This window comes from Homo sapiens, chromosome 8 (genome assembly GCF_000001405.40).
Source record: "Homo sapiens chromosome 8, GRCh38.p14 Primary Assembly".
Classification (NCBI taxonomy): domain Eukaryota; kingdom Metazoa; phylum Chordata; class Mammalia; order Primates; family Hominidae; genus Homo; species Homo sapiens.
Window position 1 is genome coordinate 67,224,451 of NC_000008.11, and position 24,629 is coordinate 67,249,079.

At 35.7% G+C, this 24,629-nt stretch overlaps 1 protein-coding gene across 17 annotated transcripts in view, besides 1 other annotated feature; it reads right to left on the reverse strand.

Moving 5' to 3' along the window:
- Nucleotides 1-24,629, reverse strand: part of ARFGEF1 (ARF guanine nucleotide exchange factor 1) — a 170,271-nt gene that overhangs the window by 50,940 nt on the left and 94,702 nt on the right. For 16 of the 17 annotated variants that reach the window (NR_182117.1, NM_001413186.1, NM_001413187.1 and 13 more), the window contains 10 exons: nt 15,712-15,840; nt 14,285-14,443; nt 13,893-14,043; nt 8,405-8,495; nt 3,774-3,814; nt 3,513-3,682; nt 2,997-3,148; nt 2,687-2,859; nt 1,573-1,733; nt 453-583 (listed from right to left, as the gene is read on the reverse strand). Coding sequence is in view for 16 of the 17 variants with exons in the window: in NM_001413186.1 (NP_001400115.1) it covers nt 453-583; nt 1,573-1,733; nt 2,687-2,859; nt 2,997-3,148; nt 3,513-3,682; nt 3,774-3,814; nt 8,405-8,495; nt 13,893-14,043; nt 14,285-14,443; nt 15,712-15,840 (1,358 nt within the window). In the remaining variant the exon portion in view is untranslated. Of the gene's footprint in view, nt 1-238; nt 584-1,572; nt 1,734-2,686; nt 2,860-2,996; nt 3,149-3,512; nt 3,683-3,773; nt 3,815-8,404; nt 8,496-13,892; nt 14,044-14,284; nt 14,444-15,711; nt 15,841-24,629 lie in introns of those variants that run through there. The other variant, NM_001413195.1, reaches the window with a different exon arrangement.
- Nucleotides 17,170-17,967: an enhancer, noted in NCBI's record as "H3K27ac hESC enhancer chr8:68153855-68154652 (GRCh37/hg19 assembly coordinates)". NCBI's record gives its function as "activates a minimal SCP1, AML or CMV promoter by ChIP-STARR-seq in naive H9 embryonic stem cells {active_cell/tissue: H9 hESC(naive)}" and the evidence as "EXISTENCE:reporter gene assay evidence [ECO:0000049][PMID:30033119]".

The following is a 24,629-nucleotide window of genomic DNA, read 5'->3' on the forward strand; positions in this document are numbered from 1 at the left end:
GAATAGCTCTATATTATTCCAAACTATGTTACTGACCAGGTTACAAAAAGAAATGGTTCTTCACCTAAAACCCAGCAAGGATGTGCAGTTAAAAATTCTTCTATCATTCATCAGGAAATAAAATAAATTTTGCCACTAACTTCAACTTATTATTGGAAACAAATATATGAAAAGACGGAATGTTTAAAGGATTAAATTAACTTAGAAGCTAAAATCAAATGGAGGCTATAATCAAATATTTTAAAAATAATGTAGTATTTCCATTTTTATTTTGCTCTAGTTAATATTTTTAAATCATATTAACATATTTTAAAATATACCTAATAATTAATATATTTGACAAAACACTTGATTTTATGGTCTTTAACTGTGAGATTGTGTTTATAAAGAAGAGTTAATTTGATTAAAGTCAAAATAAATCCAAAATTTTAATTACAAATATAGATTGTTACCTGGTTCTTACATCTAATTTGCATCTATTGATGATACAGGATAACTCAAAGAGAATTGGGAACCATCCTCTCACCCACACCCTGTCTTCAGGTGCTACGTTCATATCATCGCTTGTGTATTCCTTGAAAGCCTTCAAGAAAAAAGGTAGGGTTATTAAAGGCAAAACATAACACCCATACATTCAGTATACTAACTTCTCAAAAAATAATTTAAATGCTTCACAAATAACCAGTGAGCAATTTAATAAAAAATAATTTATAAAAAATGGACACTATAACTGCCTACAATTTTAGTATATGTGCCACTGAAATAGGCAAAACATAACTGCCTATAAAGAGCTCTGGACTAGAATCCAAAAGTTAGCTTCACTTTCAACTGTCACCAGCTTTCTGCATTATTAGCCAGGTTAATTCAGGTTTCCATTTTTATCACTTAAATGGTTATGATACCAGACAGCCACATTAACCACACTGGTGAAGTATGAAGGTGAAATGAGTTGACGTATCTAAAAAGTACCAAGCACCTGATCGGTCCATGGTAGTACGGAATAAAATCTTATTACCAAATCTACGATACATCACTTTCTCTTATGACAGTTACAAAGATAGATTCAAATATACAAGTTAAATATGGCAGCTAGATTTTCAATTCAACCTTTTACTTTAGAGCTTAAGCCTATTCTCATCCATAGTCAGTCAGCTTCAGTATTACACAGCACAGACAGACAAGATGCACTGTAGGGAATGGTTAGAAACACAGGCTGGGGCTCAAACCCTAGTTCTACTTTACTAGCCCTGAAACTATGGGCACATTTTAAAATTTCTCTGTGCCTCAGTTTCTTTGTCTGTATGGGGCTATAACACTATCTACCCCATAAAGCCATTAGAAGATTAAACAAGTTAATACAAGTTAATGAAAAACACTCAGAAAAATACCTGACACTTTCAATAATGGTTAGTTATAATCACTAACCATCCTAACTTGGAATCAGGCTGCTCAGATTATTTTTCAAATTACTGAAAAATAAATGCTTCATATACCCTCAATTCCCAAACAAACTTAAGATTTCAAATTGGAAAGAATACTCTGCAAAATTTTGTTTACTAAATGACGCTATACCTGAGGTCTATCAGACACATATTTTGCACAATGGCGAATAAGTCGAATTGCTTCCATACTTGTGTCTGGGAAAGCTGCATTGCACGCAAATTCAGACAAACACTTCACTGCATCCTGGAAAGAATCAATGGTCGCTGGAAAGTGTTTTTCAAATACAAGGGCTAAAATAGAGAAAAATATATATTACTATAATTTTTCAATTATTCTTAGCTGTACCAAAAATACACCAACATCTAGATGTAATGCACTTCCTCTTAAAGGTTGTTACAGGTTCTGACATCCAACAGATACGAAGTTCAAGACTATCTTTACCACTTAACTGACTGCCCTGAGTGGTGAGAATAGTAAAACTTGTCTGTTTTGTTTACATTATAAACATAGCACCTAATACAGTGACTGGTACACGGTAGGTACTGATTCAACTTTGGTTGAATGAATATACAAAATTACTTAACCTCTCTGTATCTCGGTTTCTTGATATAAAATGGAAATAATAATAATATACACAGATAGCTGTAAGCACTACGTAAAATAATATAAGTGAAGTGCTTAGTGTAATACTTAAGCAAGCACGCAATAAATGATAGCTATGATGATGCCATGATTCTTGATGTTGATGGTCATCATTGTCATCTTCCATATAGGCTTAACTTATAATCTTAGTATTTCAGTCAGTCCCCCTTGAACTTAAGGGGACTCCTCCTTGAAGAAGGCTGTGCAATGTACTTACTGGTCAAAAATAAAGGCTTTGCTTTAATACTCCATGGGTCTCAAGACCATCTCCATCACTAGTTCTGTGACCTTACATAGACTGCTTAACCTTTCTGGGGCTGAGTTTCCTAATCTATTTTGAAAAAAGGGATGGACAATAATGTTTAACTGTGAAGATTAAAGAAATTACGTGAAAAGTGCACACAGTATTTGCCATATGGTAAATACTCAATAAATGTTAACTATAATAGTAATTTAATTGTTTTTATTTACTCTGGTTCTGTAGACAAAGCTTGGTAAACTTAAAGGCCATAATCTTATTGTTACTTGAATCATCTTCTGAACACGTTAAGGTTGCTTTTTTTTTTTCCTTTTACTTGAACACAGCTAAGAGAATACTCACTGACAATGTGCCCGGTTGTTTGGAATGCAAGTTCCACTATGCTTTCATCTTGATCAGATGCAGCTAGATGAAATACAGAGAAAATGTTCTTCCATCCAGATCGAATGTTAGCAGCTTGAGAATTAACCATCTGTGCTATACACCGTACAACCATATCTCGAATTGTTGGAGACCTAAAAATATTAATATAATTGCTTGGATATGCAAACCGATAAAACTCATCAGTTTTTCCCCCTTTCTTCTGTTTTTCTCCCTGCTGTGGAAAACAACAAGATTTTCCTTCTATTAAGCAATTCAACAAATATAGTACCTGTTCCGTTTCATTATATGTTCAAAAGGTCTTAAGAAATCCTTCTGGAATCTGAAGTTAGCAAGCTCCCCTTTCTCTAAGAACTTCATTGACAACTGCCTCAAGGAGTCTACTGCAAAAATAGCTACATCTTCATTAGGATTACACCCAACCTGTAATGGCGACAGAAATAAACGATGCTAATTAATATCAGCAGTAAAAATCTACAATTCTTTATTTTTTGTTTTAGAAAAAGTATAGAATAGCATAGATAGGTAAATCCTAAGATTTTCCATAAAGGCATTAAGTATGCTAAAACTATTTCTCAACAAGAAAAACAGATATTTTAAATCAAATTCTTAAAGCCCAGAGCAATCATTTCTAAAAAGAAAAACACCATTCACAGGGTTTTCTAATTTAATATTAAAAAGTAATAAATAATTGCTTGGAAGGGAAAAAGGCTCAATTTGATTACAAGGACATTCTAAACAAAAAATATACTACAAATGTAAACAAACACCATAGTTATTCAAATACCTTATTAAAATGATCTCCAATAACTTCCCAAATTCGAGACCACTGTAATCTTATTCTTCCCATGTTGTAATATGATATTTCTACTATTTTTTGTAGACTAAACATTCTTGGGTGTGTCGTGGAAAGTAATTCATCCATAGACACAGCACAGAGCCAACGGACAAAATCCACTGTAATATAAATACATTTTTTTTTTAGCTCAACATTAAAGTTATTTTAGCCCCAAGCCAGTTCCGAAGTAGAATAAATGCCCATACTTACCAATGGCATTTCCATCTAGCCTTGTAGATCCTGTGAATATTCTAGGGAAAATAAAACACAATTTAAAAAATTTATAAGTTACTGTTCTTATTCCAATTGAAAAGTATGTGGCATGGGGTACTAGCTATTTTTATGTTTTAAGGGAACAAAAAATTGGGTATTCAAATGAGTATTTTTCATCATTTAGTTTAGTAACAAGTGTAGTCTGGATGTTTCTCCCTCCCCTCCACCTCTACTCCATGTGAACCAGTTTACATTCAATATTATTATTAGGGTAAGTATATACTGCTGTAATTTTATCAGATTTACAAACCCCGGATAGATATGAGATTCTAAGAATAAGAAAAATATTAATTTGTAAAACTAATAATTGGCACACTACAGATTCTTTCCTGATTATTGTCTAGCATTAAGCAAGTTCTTAAAATGAAAAATTTGACGTATTTTTACCAGTAAAGTATATTTGATTAGAAAGTTCATTTACACTAAAAGTGACTTAATATAACCTTGCAAATAGTCTCAGTTTACCCAAGAATTGGCCAAACCACTTTCCTTAGGGCATTCAAATGTTTGGAGTTAAGCTAACACTGCCCAGCTTTGCCCATTCTTCTTTGCTGAGCTCTTTTTTTGTTTCAAAGTTTCATAAAAAATTTCAGCATAAACACATTAGTCCTCCTTTTTTAAAGTCTGCATTTTAACCCATATTCTGGGTTTGCAACCAAGAGTTTGACGTCACTTTCAAGAAGGATGACATTCCTCAACTTAGAATGCACAAAATAGGATTTGCATGATAAAAAGGAAAACTTTAAAGGCAGGAGCAGGTCACAGTAGTCATAGCAGTAACAGTAATAGCTACCAATCACAAGATGGGTTCTTTTCTAGTGTAATATCAATATTCACTCATTTGATAATCACAAATTCCTTATGAAGCATGTACTATTAAATCCCCAATTTTATAAACACAGAAACTGAGGCACAAAGATATTTAATAACTTCCTCTAAGTCACAGAACTAGTAAGTGCTAGAGCCAAGATTCAAACCAGGACAGGGTGATTACAGTCTATCCTATTAACCACTTTTCTATACTGCCTCACACTTACCTGAGCAAAAGGTATATTCAACCCTTTTTTCCTACTATCACAATCTAAATGTTCTGAGTATATCATGATTTTTTAACCCTAGTGTCCTTGCATGTCTATGTGTCCTGACAATGAGTAAAAAACAATATAGGAAAAACAGTTTAGAAACGGGTAACATGATGACTCAGAATGTGAAGTCCTGCTAAAGAAATGTCTTAAGATTTTCTATATCGTTCGTCAGCAGAATGAAGCAGTAATTCCAAAATCTGGCAGAAAACACAATCTGAGGGAAAAATCAAAAGTAATATGGCCCCTCTTAATCCAGGGATTAGACTGGACCCAGAAATTAAAGATATACAACGTCTACAGAGCTCTCGCAAAACAAAAATGAAAACTGCCAGACTACGAATTTGGTCAGCTGATTTCTCAAACTAGAGGTATTCTCATGGAAGGCAATGGCTGTAAACAAGCCACACCATGAATACAGTCAAAAGTAAATAGTATAGGAGAACAAGAAAAGGCACACAAACAAAAACAAAGAAAAAAAGAGTTTTTAACTGAGAAGAAAGCAAATGGCAAACAGTAGAGGGGTAAAGAAAGAACAAAAGCAGAGATAGAACCACAGGGAAGGGAAGCAATAGATTCTGAAGGTGTTGACATAACGGAGAACAAAGGCAACAGGAGAGAGAACTATCATCAGCAATAAGACAGGTCCTGTGGACTGTTGTGATGGTGGAAGGTTGGGGGAGCATCCATTCTGAGAAAGGGCATCCCAATTCCTACTCACTGCCATAGTCTCTGAGGGGGTCACTCTATTTCTAGTAATGCTCCACTAAAGATAAGCCGTATGGTAGAGCACAGCAGTCTGTGGGGGCATTTAAAGTCAAGCCTTAACATTAAGGCAAGAGAACAGAGCTGTGTTTCATAAAATCAGCCTATGAAATGGTTTCTACATTTTCCATAGAAAAGCAAAGGACAGAAGCACAAGAACCTTGTTTGTGAATATTAAAAATCATGTGCTTTTTAAAAAGCATTAGAAAAAAACATTGGTAAGATTACTGCTTAATCACATTATAATACAGATGCAAAAACAAAAAATGGTTTGCAAAACTTTTGCAGATTCTGGATCAAATCAATTTTTAAACTGTATGCAATACACAAGCAGCCTATATTATTATACCTGTAAAAGGTTTTTTCACAATGAATATATCAGAGGTAACATTTATTTCTTAGGCCTAAATGAAAAGTATTTATGAGCAAAGGAAGTTGGGATAAGCTGTATGTATTTTCTGATAGGTGAAATATTCCAAAGTCTGAGGTGAGCCAGTTTATAGCTAGATCTGGTATGTATAAAAAAACCATAAAGAGAAAAACTATGATGCTAAATAATTGTTTTTTAGCTATTAAAAATAAACCATTCATGGATAAAGTCTATCTCCTGCATAGTTTAGTAATATTCATTATGAAATTGGTCTAATTTAACAACACATAAAAAATTCTATCCTAGCAAATGCTAGAGGATCAGTTATTCCCAGATTGAAGGGCCCAATATTCTTCTCCTATATTCTAATAATACAAGATTCCTAATACAAAAGTAGATAATTAGAAAATTTTATCACCTTAAAGTCTGTAATAAAATCTTATTCTCTTCTCTGTTGGTTAATAAACCAGAAGCTATAAAGAACTAAACATACAAAAATTTTTTTCTTTAGTTCCTGTACTTGTAATAACAGGTTATGCAGAAAAATAGGCCTAAGGACAGGAAAATGACTGTCTGCTGGGTAAGTACAGAACTCCCCAGATTGATGCCTGACACTATTTTCACTACTGTCTTGACTACCACTGAGTTGGGTAATGGACCAAAGTTTGAACATAACGATATGAAAATAAACTCAGATATTCAAAAAACATTTAATGGGAAAGTGAAATGTACCACTTAAGAATAATACAACATTATAAGAGATCAAATATATAACTTTCGGTGTTTTCACTATAAGCAAAAACTTGCAATACTGAGGTTTTGTATAAAATTTGATATTGGATTTATGTTTTTAGAAGTATCTGGCGATGACAAGATTGTGATGACACAGTACTAACAAAATTTATGCTAAATCTCCTCTGAAATAGCATAAATTCTTAAAACAGAGAGGTAATTTCAAATGAGTAACATGTCCCTCTGTAACAAACAGTGGATAGGAAGATAAATTAGAACTGGATGTGGTCATATAAAGTACATTATAAAAGCAGAAACAGTAGGTAAAATGTTAAATCATGCCTGAATAGATTCTCAAAATGACAGTGAAGATGATTTTTCTGGAAGGCAAGAAAATCATTGACAAGAAAGCTAGCCCGGTAGCAGAAGGGCTATTACATAGCTCTGCAGTAGTACATGCAGGCTGAAAGGTGGAGAGGTTAAGTATGCATGCTTATTACACAAGCCTAGTTGTGGGAATGAGCAAGTTATTTAATCTTTTTCTGTCTCAGTTTCCTCATTGTAAATTGAGGACAAGAATACCCATCTCATGAGGCTACTGAAAGGATTAAATGTAAAGCGTTTTGCAAGTGCCTCATCTGTGGCAAGCCTTCATGTTTGTTATACAGTAGGTATGAGATAATCTTTCTTCAGTCTTCACAAAAAAATAGGCAAATGACTCTCCTCTTAAAAAAAAACAAAACACAAAAAACAACAGCAAGTAGACATTAAGAATTCAAGGAAAAAGTTCCATGGAGTACTTCCAGGGTCAGTGGCCACTGAACATTCTAGTTCTACCTGTACTTAGAGCAAAAAGTTTTATCTGAAGCAAAGTAAAATAATGGATCAGCATGAGTTTCCAGACTATCAAGGAAAGATTTGTACAAATTATGTTTTTGAAAGTTTCCATCACAAGTAGGGGGTGGGAGGAAGAAAAAGAAAAAACATTATTGTAAAATGTTTCACTTTTGGGGGCATTTATCTAGAAAAAGCTAAACTTCAAGTAACAATAGGAGACATTGTTCTATGTGCTGGACATTTTAAAATTGGAAATATTCTGTAGTAAATAAAGCATACCATGGGTTTTCTTTTAGAAAACAAACTAAAAATGGGGAATATGTGGTGATGTGTATAATATATAAATTCTGAAGTCCTTTCCAAAAAAGTTTATAATGGGAATTGCCAATAAAACCTTTCATTTCATCCATAATGCAGTCTATATTGTGGACCCAGAAAAATAAACTACACAACATTTTCAAATAGGGATAATAAGGGGAATAAGTTTTCTACGAGAAAATAAAACATTTGTATTCTTTTCCATCGAGGTTACCATTTCCTTAATGCCCATTAGTATCTATTGTAACTTAAATTTTCATACTGTTTATCATCTTCTTATATTCTATGATCCAAAAAGCAAAATTATAGGTACTTCATCATCTAAATCACAGCATATCACAATATAATTTTATATTACTTTAGAAAAATGATTTTGGCAATAATATTTTTCTTTTTACCAACACCTAAATGCTAAAGAACTGAAATAGTAATCATCTGAAAAGGGAATAAAATGAATACCTTACCTATCTACAGCAACAACAACACTCTGAGAACTGGTTTCTCCAATGGATTCCTGAATACTTGCTATCTGTTTCCAGTCCACATTTCCTCCAACTACCACACATAAAAAAAAGTCATTTCAGTTTGAAAATAATTCAGTAGAAGAATACACTTAACAAGTTCTAAAACATACTTCTGAAATCAACTGCTTTCCTAATAACAGAATGCTTCAGGTGAACAATTCTTTTGATATCAGTGACATGAACAAGGCCAAATGTGCAAATGAACTTTACTAAGTAGTATACAACACATGGTTATAAGTCACAAACTATGTTTGTAAAGATCACACAAAGTAGGGGCACTGTGAATTTATATCACAAAATTATAGATATTAGATATAATTTCCCTTAATGTTTAAAGAAATGCAGCACTAATCTCAGTTCCAATGATACCTTCTGAGGATGATCCCAACTCCAAAAATTTAGACTTCCCTTGTCATTTAATCTCTAGTCCCCTATTTACAAAGGTCAGTTGAAAATTCTACCTGTATTTTCTAACACCCTTTTATTGAAAAGAATCATTCATCTTTTCCCTTGAAACTGGTTCCACATGTTGGAGAGGAGAATAACAATATTCCCAGTCTTCAAATTCTTAACTTCAGAATCACCTTTGATATCCTTCCCCTCTTCCACTATCAATATTCAACTAGTCACTAAATTTTTCTTCTGATCTGTTTTTCATATCACCTGTTCATTTCCATTCCTACCTAGTTCTGGCCCTCATAATCTCAGTCCTAGATTACTGAAACCATTTCATGAGTGATTTCCCTGCCATTAATTATTTCCCTCTTCAATCTCTCTTTCATCCCCCTGCCAGATTATTTCCTAAATCGTCTCCTTCATTCTGCTTACTGTTACTTACAAGATAAAATATAAACTCTTTACCCTAGCATTTAAAGCACTTCCCTTCAACAGTCTAGCCAAAATGTGCCATCCCTCAACTATCTAAAACTTACCTACCAAGACTCAATTTGGGTTCTCAATGAAAAGTTCCTCTCCATTGTTCTCATCTGCCTTTGAACTAAGCATTTACTTAGCTAAGTACTACTCAAATCAGAATTACGTTCATACAGTTGCATATAAATTATTTCAGGTGTGTTAATGTTGCCTTCACAACCAGATAAAGTTTCCTAAGGTTAGGAATCAAGTAATATTCATTTTTGTACTTTCCTACCTTACTCAAAATTAAGTCCAAAGCAGGTGCTCTACAAACACTTGACCTGAGTGACCAAACACTCAATAAATGCCCTTCTGAATGCAAACATAACAGATGATATCATTTAAACCTGCTGAACTCAAATTCTATTCTAGGAACTGAATGATGTGAAAAAGATGTAACCCCTGTCCTCACAGAGTTAATAATTTACACCAGGAGAGACAGATATGTTTATAATGAACTTCAATGCAATGTAATGACTACTTCATGGCTGAAATGAACTAACTACATAGAATAAAAGTTTGCTAAATAGAACTAATTTCAATAGGGACAAGAACAGGGTGTTAGCTCATAGAAAGGCTTCACATATGATGAAATATTAATTCAACCTGGACCTAGAAGGGTAACTATGTAGAAAAGGAAGGAGAAAGAAAAGCAATTGAGACAGAGGGGCAGCTATATAAAGTAATGGAAACATACAACTGTACATCATGTTTTCACATACTTGGTAGTATAGCCATAATGAAGGATTGGCAGACACCAGGAAGAAGGGAAAAGAACAGCAGTAGGAGATAAAGCTGAAAAGACAGACTAGAAAAAAGAATGTGAAGAGCCTTGACCCTTAGGTTTAATGTACTACTTTCGAAAACAGGGATCCGTTAGGTCTTTTAGAAGATTGATATGATCTAATCTATTTTCCAAAAGACAACACTGATAATATCTGGAGAACATACTGAAATAGGAAAAAATATTGAAATCAGAGAGATAAACTAAAAGTCTACTGCTATAATACAAGTGAACAAGAATGAAAGCCTGAAGTAAGTGACACAGTATTGGGGTGGTAGGGAAATAGTGTCAAGGCAAACTTGACACGCACAGCATGTTACAGGAATTTTACAAAGAAAAACCTATGAGAAAAAAACAATGCCAATCATAAGATAACTTCCTTTGTGTATCAACAGGATATCCTTTCCACAGAGGAAATATATATATGTTCTGTGGGGAAAAAATATGTGTATGTGTGTATATATATATATATGTGTGTGTGTGTGTGTATATATATACACACACACACACGTGTCAAAATATGTCCTTTATATTTAAATATAATTTAAAATCATTAATAATAAAATATTTAAAGGAATCAAAGAATATAAAAAATGTCTTGGAATCCAAAGAACCCATTTCACAAATATGTGAAATCCCTTAATGAGAGTTCCAGTTTTGTCAAACAAATTTACTCAAAAGCACACAACACAAGAGAATAGGGGTGTTAGCTCAAGAAAGGCTTCACGTATGATGAAATACTAATTCAACCTAGACCTAGAAGGATGGTTATGTAGAAAAGAAAGCAGAAAGAAAAGCAATCACAATAGAGAGGGCATATTTAGGTTAAATAAGATTTTTTAAACTATGTGTCATGAATACTCTCTGAACATTTATGTGACAAAGCCATTGAATTTTTAAATGTTAAGGTATCTCTTGAAAGACCAGCATGCAGTCCAGGTGCCATGGCTCGTGCCTCTAGTCCTAGCATTTTGGGAGGCCGAGGTGAGAGGATCACCTGAAGCCCGGAGTTTGAAACCAGCCCGGGCAACATACTGAAATAGGAAAAAAACATAGTGAAAGCCTGGGACAGGCTTTTACTTTAGTAACTTTAATTTAAAAAAAAGTTGAGCCCAAGAGTTCAAGACTGCAGTGACCTATGACCATGCCACTGCACTCCAGCCTCAACAACAGAGTGAGACCTTGTCTTTAAAAAAATAGAAAAAAAAGAATGCATATAATTCAAATCTAATAATTATCTACTATGTATTCTTAATAACTGAAAGTTTCGTATTTCCAAAAAGTGAAAGTACAGACTTTTTTTCTATCAGTCAGAAAGTATGATAAATATATACTCAACCCGGTCAACTTGGTTACATGGAATACTCACGGCAGAGATACCATTAATAAAAGAGGATATGGGCGGGCGCAGTAGCTCACACCTGTAATCCCAGCACTTTGGGACGCCAAGGCGGGCAGATCACATGAGGTCAGGAGTTCAAGATCAACCTGGCCAACATGGTGAAACCCTGTCTCTACTAAAACAAACAAACAAACAAACAAACAACAAAAAAAATTAGCTAGGTGTGGTGGCACACCCCTGTAATCCCAGCTACTCAAAAGGCTGAGGCAGGGGAATCACTTGAACCCAGGAAGCAGAGGTTGCAGTGAGTTGAGATCGCACCACCGCACTCCAGCCTGGGTGACAGAGTGAGACTGTGACTCAAAAAAAAAAAAAAAAAAAAAAGATATTAGTTAAAAAAAAAAAAAAAAATATATATATATATATATATATATATATATATATATATATATATATGTATCCACTGTATATGCAGACTAAACTGGCTTGACTGTACCACATCTTCTTCTAGCTTAAATTCTGATGACAACATTCTGCTCCAGAAAGCATCTGCTGTCTGACCTTGGTAGGCACAGGGGGACAAGGGTAGCCATTTGCCACATGGGTTGGCTGGTTATCCAACGGGACGGCCCAACGGGAGGGCTCTGCCCAACAGGGGCCAAGTCCACAGACTAGCTCCTTCTAGGATGTGGATTCAAAATGGAGCATGGAGTCAGGACTGAGCAGAGAATGGTGCAGACCAAAAAGAGAAGTACATAACAGAGAAAACCTAAATAAGGCATAAAATAAGTGTTACTGGTCTTGAGAATGGTCTGGAAGCCTGAACTGTTTTTCATTTCTAGGCCTCAATGTGTGTATCTTTCTGTAAATTCCCTTTTTCTGAAGGGAGAAGACAGTTCATCTCATATCCTTGCAACCTAAGTAGCACAGTACATGAATTAATTTTAATTCATTTTCAAGTATACCAGTAAATATTATCAGCAAGTATCATTATTTCTCGTTTGACTAAAACTTCTAGAAGATATCCCACTGGTGTTTTATTTTTAGTGTAACCTAATTCTGTAGTCCTACTTGCCAAAACTCAGGCCCAGCAATTAACACCTGTCATTATTTTGGCATTCCCACACTCTCTAGGCCTTTTCAAAGTTACTGAGCCAATCAGTGCACATTCACTTCCCTTGCCTGAAAATAGTTTTCATCTGCATCTCATGTTACCCCATGGAGTAATTACAGTTCTAATGTATAAAGTTGGGCTTCTAATCATTGTGCAGGTGCTCAGGTAGTTCTAAATCTTACTGCTAGATCACCAAGGTATCAAGTCTACACCTGCACCTCCCAGACCTTACAATACTATAGCATCTATGCTATCATGGAGGGACAGACTGCATTGCTAGCTGCTTCAGTTGATTACCACTGGGAATTAGTTTTCCCCAGTCCAACTTGAAGCCATATCATGGTCCTGGTTTTTAATTCTTTTCCTATGGATCCTTTATAAAGTTTGAAATTCTTTTGGGGTTTCTAAGAATTTTCACTGCTAGCAGCAACAGAGGAATCACTAAAAGATAGAAGATTCCTGCTCTAAGTAATGCGTCCAGATTGGTTGGAGGTGGGGGGTTGGGGAGGGATGGACAGAGAATATCTAGAAACTTCGAATATACCAGCCATTATGCTAAGTCCAGTCATATATATTCTTATTTAATCCTAACAATCCTATGATTAGATATTACTTTGTTTGCAAAAGCAGAAATTGAATCTCGGCGAACTAAAGTAACTTACACATAATAAGGAAAAAATACAGAAGAATTCAAACCCAGAAATACTTAAGGTCAAAGTCTAATAAGCTCTGTTTCTTCCCTGGTGGAACTCCTTCCATTTATGACTAAAAAATGTATTGCTTTTCATTCTTCTCTACCCATTTTTGCTAATGTTTTCTTTTGTTCTACTGGTTTAAATGTGGAAGTTCCTGGTCATATTGAGCGCATGGGGAGCCATGGGGAGAGGTTTCATACTGGCAGAAAGGCTGGTTAGGCCTGCTCATTGCTTTAACAATTAAATGTGAATGCTTTCTCCAGTTGCCCCAACTATTACCTGATACCAGCTTTCACACATTCAAGTTACCTGCTTATTTTTAAAAGCAAGTAATTTAAAAACTCTACACACTGTATCCTTCTCCAACAACCAGAGAGAAGCCTGAAACTAAGGGTCATTTAATGTTGCAAACCAGACCAGGCAAAAAAGATTTAGTTCCTTAGTCATCTTGCTTTTTCTCATAAGGTTAGACAAAAGGCATTTTATCTTCTCCTTCTAATTATATTTCATTACTACAATAAAGTGACTTATAATGAGGAAGTTAAAAACAATTTTTGATACTTTGTAAAAATTCTCACCTAGCCCTAAACCCACAAATTCATCAGGAGCCTGATCTTTTGTTCCAGTAAGAGATCCTTCTCTGCCTCGCACTGTTCCAGAAATGTATCGAGGTTTCACTCCAGTTCCTATAAGCTGTGCCAGCTCCAACTGACTGATGCACTTCAGAATCTTAATTACAAAAAGGAAAAAAATGTTAAATTCCATGTTAAAAATATCTTCAAAAAGATTTAAATATATGCAGCCAGGACTTAAACACAGACTACACTATAGATTATTTTAAAAAGCTAAACGTACTTATTCGAAATGTACTAATTTTCTCCCCTAACATTTAGGCATGTCAATGATGGACTATTTAGCATTAGCTCATTTTATAAACCAAATTGCAAAGTTGAAAATAAAGTGCTTATACCTCATGCCATGAATTTCCTAAATAATTTCCATCTGTATGAGCCACTGTGATAAGTGTTTTTATTGTGTCAATGTTCTTCTGTTTCATTTCAGTAATACCGGAACTCACTGTGAGTAAGGTAAATCTTGCTAGTGCCTGGACATATGCATCTCTCTCCAGCTATAAAAAAGAGAAAAGTATGTTTACACAGTTCTAAATAGAGCAGACTGATTAATTCCCCACCAACAAACTCTGTTTACTTGTTCAGTAAGATTTTGTTTTTTTTTTTTTTAATTTATTTATTAATTTTTGAGACAGAGTCTCACCCTGTCGCCCAGGCTGGGGTTCAATGGCGCAATCTCGGCTCACTGCGACCTCCGCCTCCCAGGTTCACATGATTCTTCTGCCTCAGCCTCCCGAGTAGCTGGGATTACAGGCGCCCACTACCATGCCAAGCTAATTTTTTGTATCTTTAGTAGAGACGGGGTTTCACCATGTTGGCCAGGCTGGTCTCGAACTCCTGATCTCGTGATCTGCCCGCCTCGACCTCCCAAAGTGCTGGGATTACAGGCTTGAGCCACCATGCCTGGCCCTCCTTTCCCTTTCTTTTGCCTATTAAACCTCCACTCCTAAACTCGTAAGTTCAGTAACTTGTAAGTTTAGTAAGTTTTACTTGTCATGAATTACATATAATTCCACAAGTTTTTTATTTTCATTCATTTTAAGATGATGCATGAAGCAGAAACGACATACATTTCTAAAATCCAAAGGCAGTGGTGGTGTCAAATTGAGATTTTTAGTGATAACCAATGAATTCACACAGTAAAAAAAAAAAATTCATTAAGCACTTTTGTTTTGATTACTAGATTAGCAAAAACATGATTTATACATTTGCTCATTTTCTCCACAGCTACGCTATACTTTTTGCAAGCCATTAGCATTTATAATTAAATGTTGAATGAATTTTTCTTTTTTTAAAAGTTCCTCAAAGCATATAAATTACTAGAAAGGACTTCTTTCATGAAAATTATGTATTCAATATTTACATGTCTTAAAGATAACCTGTTCTTAGGCTTAAGTTATGAAATCATATAAAATATATACAACCTTGTATATAAACTATGATTCAACAAGATATTTTATTCGTTTAAACAAGATGTTCAAATTAACATAGGAATTCAAAGTCTTGAAAACTTTCTGTATAGTCTTCAATAGAGAAAAAAAACTGTAACCAAAGTTATAATGATAAACTTAGACAGATCAGTATAGAACTACCCCTTCTATAACAGCTTCTCAGAAGCTTAAACATTAAGATTCATTTAAATTCCATCATAAACTTGAAATTAGTTTTTAATGTCACACATAAACAATTATTGTAATTTAAACTATTGTAATGGCATAGGTAATTAATGTTCCAAACTGGCTACAAAGACAAAATTCTCTGTTACCTGAATGCTGAAAATGCATGCAATTCTGATTGCACATCTTATACCTTCCAGGCAAAGAGAGGCTACTTCAGTATCATCACAATCTTGTAGACCCACACTGAATGCAGCCAGAAAAGGCGTCCAAGCCAACTACAAAAATTAAAAATTGTATTTTAATTAAAGATTATGATAACACATTAAAATTTCTCAAATCTTTTAGACAATACAAGTTCTGAAAAAAAGAAATGAAATTCTTGGCAGTTATCTAGAAAGCTTTCTTAAACAAAGGGGGAAAACTATATAATGCTGCCTGGGCTTGAATAAATGGGAGAGCAAAATAATACATTCAATAGAGGACCTTAGGCATATTTTAAGAACTGTACCTATAAATTATTCACATCAATTTAAAAATGGAAATAATCAATATTCATAAAAATATTAGTTTTACCCGACTTCAGAACTCCTCTCTCTTTGTAAGCTTTGTCTCTTGCAATATTTCACACTATTTCCAGTAAGATCCTGTTAATCATTTTCCTACTTGCAACAAACAACATTATTATCTTTTCTTTAAGCCCATTCCCTGAACATCATTTAGCCTAATTTTTAAAAAATAGTTAAATATTTTACATTGAGACATCAGTGATATTTCTGGTTTCCAGTTGGACAATATTTAAAAAGTAGTTAAATAAAATACTTCCTCATTATACACTGTGGAAGACAACAAATACTTACTGAAATTTTACTATCAAAACTTTGAATCCTGAATGAAGTTACAATATAAAGCAAAAAAGACGCTACTTTTTGGCCACTGAAAATTCTAATAAAATACATAACCTTGAAATGTCTCATGTGAAAGTATTCAACTGCTTTTAAGTGGTCATCATAAAGAAAAACTATATAGCCATATAGCCATAAAGATGAAAAATGTTTCTATCAGTGCGCTATAGAAATTACAATCGAATTTCTAAAAGATCTATAAAGCATTTAGCATTACTAAGGAAAACAATTACCCAGAGCTTTGTTTCTAAACTTCAGAAAGTTGAGAAGTAAACATTTATAATCTCTAAACAAAAAAAACATAAGTCATAGAACCTAGGTTCTAGTCTCAGCTCCGCCACTTATTTAATCTCTCTGAACCTCACTTTTCTTCATCTATTATATTTGAACTGCCACTACAGAGAGAAGCTGAGAGAAACATAAGTGCCGTACTTCTAAACTACAAAGTACCATATGACAGCAATAACTTACACATTCTGTGGAGAAACAGTGTATCTATTTGGAAGCCTGTGTTATATTTTATACAAGAAGAGATACAAACGGTTCTTAAGGCAGTGAAAAAAAAAATGTTTAACTCCTTTAGGAATCAAAGACAATGATTCCTCCTATCAAATTACAACTAAATAATATCCAGGCAATAGTTAAACTGTGCACTCATAACTGTACGAACCTTTGTGGAACACCGTTTGGCAATACATTAAAAAATTCTTAAAAATGGATAATATGCAGGAACAAGAGGGCCAAAAAGAGAGCTCCACCAATCATCCCCCATGCAGGAACACCAAATTTAACAACTATCTACACACAAAAAAAACACCTTCATAAGAACCGAGAAACAGGTGAGCACTCACAGTAGCTGGTTTTAACTTGATATCACTGAAAGGGACATTGAAGGGGTAGGAAAGACAGTCTTAAATCCCAACGCCATCCCTCCCCCGTCTCCCATCAGCGGCCCTATGCTGCAGAGAGAAAATCTGTGTACTTGGGAGAGGGACAGTGCAGCAACTGTGAGACTTTACATTGAACTCAGTGCCATCCTGTCACAGTAGAAAGCAAAACTGAGCTGAACTGAGCTGATGCCCACCCACAGAGGAAGCATTCAGACGAGCCACAGCCAGACAGGCATCACCCATCCTAGCAGTAGGAACCTGAGTTCCAGCAAGCCACACCAGCATGGACTAAAATGTTCTGGGGCCCTAAATAAACCTGAAAGTCAGTCTAGGCCACAAGGACTGCAACTCCTAGGCAAGGCCTAGCTGTGCTGGGCTTGGAGGCAGTGGACGTGGAGGATACACAACCTACTGAGACACCAGCTAGAGTGGCTAAGGGAGTGCTGGCATCACCCCTCCCCCAAGCATAGCTTGTAGCTCCAAAACAGACTCCCTTCTCATACTTAAGGAAAGGAGAGGGAAGAATAAAGAGGACTTTGTCTTGCATCTCTAAAACCAGCTCAGCCACAGCAGGACAGGGCACCAGGCAGAGGTGTGAGGCCTCCTTTCCAGGCCCTAGCTCTGATTTCTAGACACATCCTAGGCCAGAAGGGAACCCACTGCCTTGAAGGGAATGGCCCAGTCCTCACAGGATCCCTTATTTGCTGACTAAAGAGCCCCTGGGCCCTGAATAGCCAGAGTGATATCCAGATAGTACACTGTGGGACTCGGGTGAGACTCAGTACATTCCCAGCTGTGGTGGCTATGGGGAGGGACTCCTTCTTCTTGCAGAGGAAAAAGTAAAGGGATTTTGTCTTGCACTTTAGGTACCAGCTTGGCCACAGAAGGGTAGAGCAACAAGTGGGCTCTTGGAGACCTTATTCCAGGCCTTGGCTCTGGGATGGCATTTCTGTACCTGCCCTGGGCCAGAGGGAAGCCCACTGCCCTGAAGGGTGAGTCCCGGCCTGGCAGCATTCAAGACAAGCTCATGAGAGAGCCCTTGGCCCTTGTGAACATCAGCAGTAGCTTGGCAGTACTCTCCGTGGGCCTGTGGTGGTGATGGCCACGGGCTAAGGCTCTTCTGCCTGTGAAAAGGGGAGGGAAGAGTGGGAAGCACTGTGTCTTGTAGTTTGAGTGCCAGCTCAGCTGCAGTAGAATTGAACACCAGGTAGATTCCTAAGGTTTCTGACTCATGTCCCTGGCTCCAAGATAGTATCTCTGGACCTGCCTGGAACCTGGGGGGTAATCCAGAGAATTCTTCTGAATGTTATTGAAGACCACTAAGGTGATACCTCTATGAGTCTGCAAGAACTACAGAGTCTGCAAGTAACCCACCGTTACTGGACTTGGGGTGTCCCCTAAAGCAGATACGGCATGGATCACAATACTCAAGTATATTAGTCCATTCTCAAGCTGCTAATAAAGACATACCCAACACTGTGTAATTTATAAAGAAAAACAGGCTTAATGGACTCAGTTCCATGTGGCTGAGAGGCCTCACAATCATAGTGGAAGGCAAGGAGGAGCAAAATCATGTCTTACAACACAGCAGCAGGCAAGAGAGAGCTTGTGTGGGGGAACTCCCCTTTATAAAACCATCGGCTCTCATGAGACTCATTCACTATCACAAGAACAGCACGGGAAAAGACCTGCCCCCATGATTCAATTACCTCCCACTGGGTCTCTCTCATGACACATGGGAATTATGGGAGCTACAATTCAAGACTGGTAAGGATATAGCCAAACCGTATCATCAAGTCCTTTTGAATACCTAGAAAGCCTTCCCAAGAAGGATGGGTACAAACAAGCCCAGACTGAGAAGACTACAATAAACACCTAATTACTCAAAGCCCAGACATCAATGAACATCTGTAAGTATCAAGACTATCCAGGAAAACACGACCTCACCAAACGAACTAAATACCAGGGACCAATCCTGGAGAAAGAGATATATGTGACCTTTCTGACAGAGAATTCAAAAGAGCTGTTTTGAGGAAACTCAAATAAATTCAAGGTAACACAGAAGAAATTCAGAATTCCATCAGATAAATTTTTAAAAGGATTAAAATAATAAAAAAAAATCAAACAAAATTCCACAGTTGAAAAATGCAGGCCAGGCGTGGTGGCTCACGCCTGTAATCCCAGCACTTTGGGAGGCCGAGGTGGGTGGATCATCTGAGATCAGGAGTTTTGAGACCAGCCTGGCCAACATGACAAAACCCTGTCTCTACTAAAAATACAAAAAATCAGCCAGACATGGTGGCAGGTGCCTGGAATCCAAGCTACTCAGGAGGCTGAGGCAGAGAGAATTGCTTGAACCTGGGAGGCGGAGGTTGCAATGAGCCGGGATCATGCCACTGCACTCCAGCCTGGGCGACAAAGCGAGACTCCACCTCAAAAAAAAAAAAAAAAAAAAAAAAAACATTCGACTACTGAGTCTCTCGTCTCTCTCTCTCTGTTGTTGTTGTTGTTTTTTTTTTTTTTTTTGAGGATCTCACTCTGTTACTCAGGCTGGAGTGAAGTGACATCACAGCTCACTGTAACCTCCACCTCCCAGGCTCAAGCAATCCTCCCACCTCAGCTTTCCTAGTAGCTGGAACCACAGGCACAAGCCACTATACCTGGCTAATTTTTGTAGAGATGGGGCTTCGCCATGTTGCCTAGACTGGTCTCAAACTCCTGGGCTCAAGTGATCTGCCCACTTCAGCCTCCTAAAGTGTTGGGATTACAGGCATAAACCACGGTTCCCAGCCCCATAAGTCTCTTAATAGCAGAACTGATCAAGCAGAAGAAAGAATTAGTAAGCGTGAAGACAGGCTATCTGAAAAAAATACAGTCAGAGGAGACAAAAGAAAAAAGAATGAAGCACACCTATAAAATCTGGAAAATAGTTTTAAAAGGGCAATTCTAAAAGTTATTGGTCTTCAAAGAGGCAGAGAAAGAGATAGAGGTAGAAAGTTTATTCAAAGGGATAACAACAGAGAACTCCCCAAACCTAGATAAAAATAACAGTATCCAGTACAAGAAGGTTATAGAACATCAAACAAATGTAACCCAAAGACAATTACCTCAAGGCTTTTTAATAATTAAACTCACAAAGGTCAAAGATAAAGGATCCTAAAAGCAACAAGAGAAAAGAAACAAATAACATACAATGAAGCTCCAATATGTCTGGCAGCAGACTATTCAGTGGAAACCACACAGGCCAGGATACAGTGGTATGACATATTTAAAGTGCTTATGGAAAAAAACTTTTACCTGAAAATAGTACATATCTGGTGAAACTATCCTTTAAACATGAAAGAGAAATAATTTCCCAGACAAATGAAAGCTGAGGGATTTCATCAACACCAGACATGTCCTGCATGAAATGCTAAAGGGAGTACTTCAATCAGAAAAAGGACATTAATGAGTAAGAAGAAATCATCTAAAAGTACACAACTCACTGGTTATAAAAAGTACACAGAAAAATATAGTATTATAACACTGTGTAACTGTGGACATGTAAAATACTCTTAAGTAGAAAGACAGAAAGATGACTCACAGCTTTTCAAGACACAGGCAGTACAATAAGGTATAAACAAAAACAACAAAAGGTTAAAAAGCAGGGGAACAAAGTTAAAGTGTAGAGTTATTAGTTTTATTTTTGCTTGTTTATTTGTTTATGCAAGCAGTGTTATCAGCTTAAAATAATGGGTTATAAGATAGTACTTGCAAGCCTCATGGTAACCTCAAACCAAAAAAACCTATAATGAATAAACAAAAAATAAAAAGTAAGAAATTAAATCAAACCATCAGAGACAATAACCTTCACTAAAAGGAAGACAGGAAAGAAGGAAAGAAAGAAGAAAAGACCACAAAACAACGAGAAAATAACAAAATTGGAAGAGTAAGTCTTTATCAATAGTCACACTGAATATACATAGGCTAAACTCTTCAATAAAAAGATACATAGTGGCTGAATGAACAAAAACACAAGCCCCAATGATCTGTTGTGTACATGAGACACACTTCACCTGTAATGATACAAACCGACTGAAAATAAAGGGATGGAAAAAGATATTCCATGCAAATGGAAAGCAAAAAAGAGCAGGAGTAGCTATACTTGTATCAGAAAAAATATATTTCAAGACAAAAACTAGGAAGAGACAAAGCCAATATGCAATGATAAAGAGGTCAATTCAGCAAGAGGATACAGCAATTGTGTGTGGATGTGTGTGTGTGTATATATATAGATATGCACACCCAGCACTGCACCCAAATATATAAAGCAAATATTATTAGAGCTAAAGACAGAGACAGACCCCAATACAGTAACAGCTGGAGACTTCAACACCTCATTTTCCATATTGGACAGACCTTCCAGCAGATCAACAAAGAAACATCAGATTTAATCTGCACTACATAACAAATGGATCTAACAGATATTTACAGAATATTTCATCCAATGGCAGTAGCATACACATTCTTTTCCTCAGCACATGGATCATTCTAGAGGATAGACCATATGTTAGGACTCAAAACAAATCTGAAAACACTTTAAACAAGTGAATCTGAAGCCTCTTTCTGGTACAACGGAATAAAACTAGAAATCAGTAACAAGAATAATTTTAGAAACAACACAAACACATGAAAATTAAAGAATATGCTCCTGAATGACCAGTGGGTCAATGAAGAAATTAAGAAGGAAATTGAAAAATTTATTGAAACAAATGATAATGAAGACACAACGTACCCAAACCTATGGAATATAGTGAAAGTAGTCCTAAGAGCAAATTTTATAGCTGTTAGTGTCTACATCAAAAAAGAAGAAAAACTCCAAATAAACAACCTAATGATGTTTCTTAAAGAACTAGAAAAGCAAGAGCAAATCAAACCCAAAATTAGTAGAAGAAAATAAAGATCAGAGCACAAATGAATGAAATTGAAATTTTAAAAATACAAAACATCAACAAAACAAAAAGTTGGTTTTCTGAAATGATAGATAAACTTGACAAACCTTAACCAAGACTAAGAAAAAAAGACCGAAGACACAAATAAATAAAATTAGAGATGAAAAAGGAGACATTACAACTGATACCACAGAAATTCAAAGGATTCTTAGTGGCTACTCTGAGCAACTACATGCCGGTAAACTGGAAAATCTAAAGGAAATGGATAAATTCCTAGACACATAGAATCTATGAAGATTGAACCAAGAAGAAATTCAAAACCTGAACAGACCAATAACAAGCAATGAGATCAAAGCCATAACAAAAAGTCTCTCAGCAAAAGAAAGCGTGAAATCTGATGGCTTCACTGCTAAATTCTACCAAACATGTAAAGAACTAATACGAATCCTATTCAAACTATTCTGAGAAACAGAGTAGGAAGGAATATTTCCAAATTCATTCTACAAGGCCAGTATTACCCTGATACCACAACCAGACAAAGACACATTAAAAAAAAAATTGCAGGCCAATATCACTGATGAATATTGATGCAAAAATCCTCAACAAAATACCAGCAAACCAAATTCAACAACACATTTAAAAGATTATTCATCATGACCAAGTGGGATTTATCCCAGGGATGCAAGGATGGTTCAACATACACAAATTAATCAATGTGATACACCATATCAATAGAATGAAAGACAATACCATATGATCATTTCAATTGATTGAAAAAGCATTTGATAAAAACTCTCAAAGAAGTAGGTATAGAAGGAATATTCCTCAACACAATGAAAGCCATATACAACAGACCACAGCTAGTATTGTACTGAAAAGGGAAAAACAGAAAGCCCTTCCTGTAAGGTCTGAAACACAACAAGGATGCCTACTTTCACCACTGTTATTCAACAAAGTACTGAAAGAACTAGCTGGAGGAATCAGAAAAGAGAAAGAAATAAAAGACATCCGAACTTGAAAGGAAGAAGTCAAATTATCTATTTGCAGGTGATACGATCTTATATTTGGAAAAGCCTGAACGCTCTACCAAAGAACTATTAGAACTGATAAATTCAGTAAAGCTGCAGGATACAAAAATCAACATACAAAATTCAGTAGCATTTCTATTTGACAACAGTGAACAATCTGAGAAAGAAATTTTAAAAATTAACCAAAGACGTGAAAGATCCCTACAATGAAAACTACAGAACAGTGATGAAAGACACTGAAGAGGACACCAGAAAAATTGAAAGATATTTTATGTTTATGGATTAGAAGAATCAATATTGCTAAAATGTCCATATTACCCAAAGCAATCTATAGAATACCATGACATTCTTCAGAGAAATAGAAAAAAAAAATCCTACAATTTATATGGAATCAAAAAAGACCCAGAATAGCCAAAGCTATCCTGAGCAAAAAGTACAAAACTGAAGAAATCACATTACCTGCCTTCAAGTTATACTACAGAGCTATAGTAGCCAAAATGGCACAGTACTGGCATCAAAAGAGATATGTAGATCACTGGAACAGAATAGAGAACCCAAAAATGAATCCATACATCTAGTGAATTCATTTTTGACAAAGGAACCAAGAACATACATTGGGAGAAAGGACAGTCTCTTCAATAAACAGTGCTGGGAAAACTGGATATCCATATACAAAAGAATGAAACTAGACTCCTTTATCTTGCCATATACAAAAATCAGATCAAAATGGATTAAAAACTTACATCTAAGACCTCAAACTATGAAACTACCGTAAGAAAACATTGAGGATTCTCTAGGACATTAAGCTGGGCAAAGATTTCTTGAGAATACCCCACAATCACAGGTAACCAAAGTAAAAATGGACAAATGGACACATCAAGTTAAAAAGCTTCTGCAAAGCAAAGGAAACAATCAACAAAGTGAAGAAACATCCCACAGAATAGTGGTTCTCATTGTGCAGCTCAGAGAAGGTGCAATACTCTCCAGCTCCACCATTACCATTACTATAAATAATGTTTGTAAAATTCATACCTAGTAAACAATTTAGGACGGTCATGCCTGCTTACAGGTGTTGTCTGTTGAAACTAGTCTACAGATTGTTTCATGAATGCTTTGTCAAATTATGACAAAGTGCAATAATGTTTGAAGACTATAAGTGACACTGTATCTTGTTTCTAATAAGATAAACTTTTTTTTGTCTTTGCTTTATCTTAAAAAGTTTATATCCCTTAATATTATACATTGCATTCCAGGAATATATCATTCATTCCTTCCACCCAGCCAATGTTTATTCATTGAGTACTTAACACAAG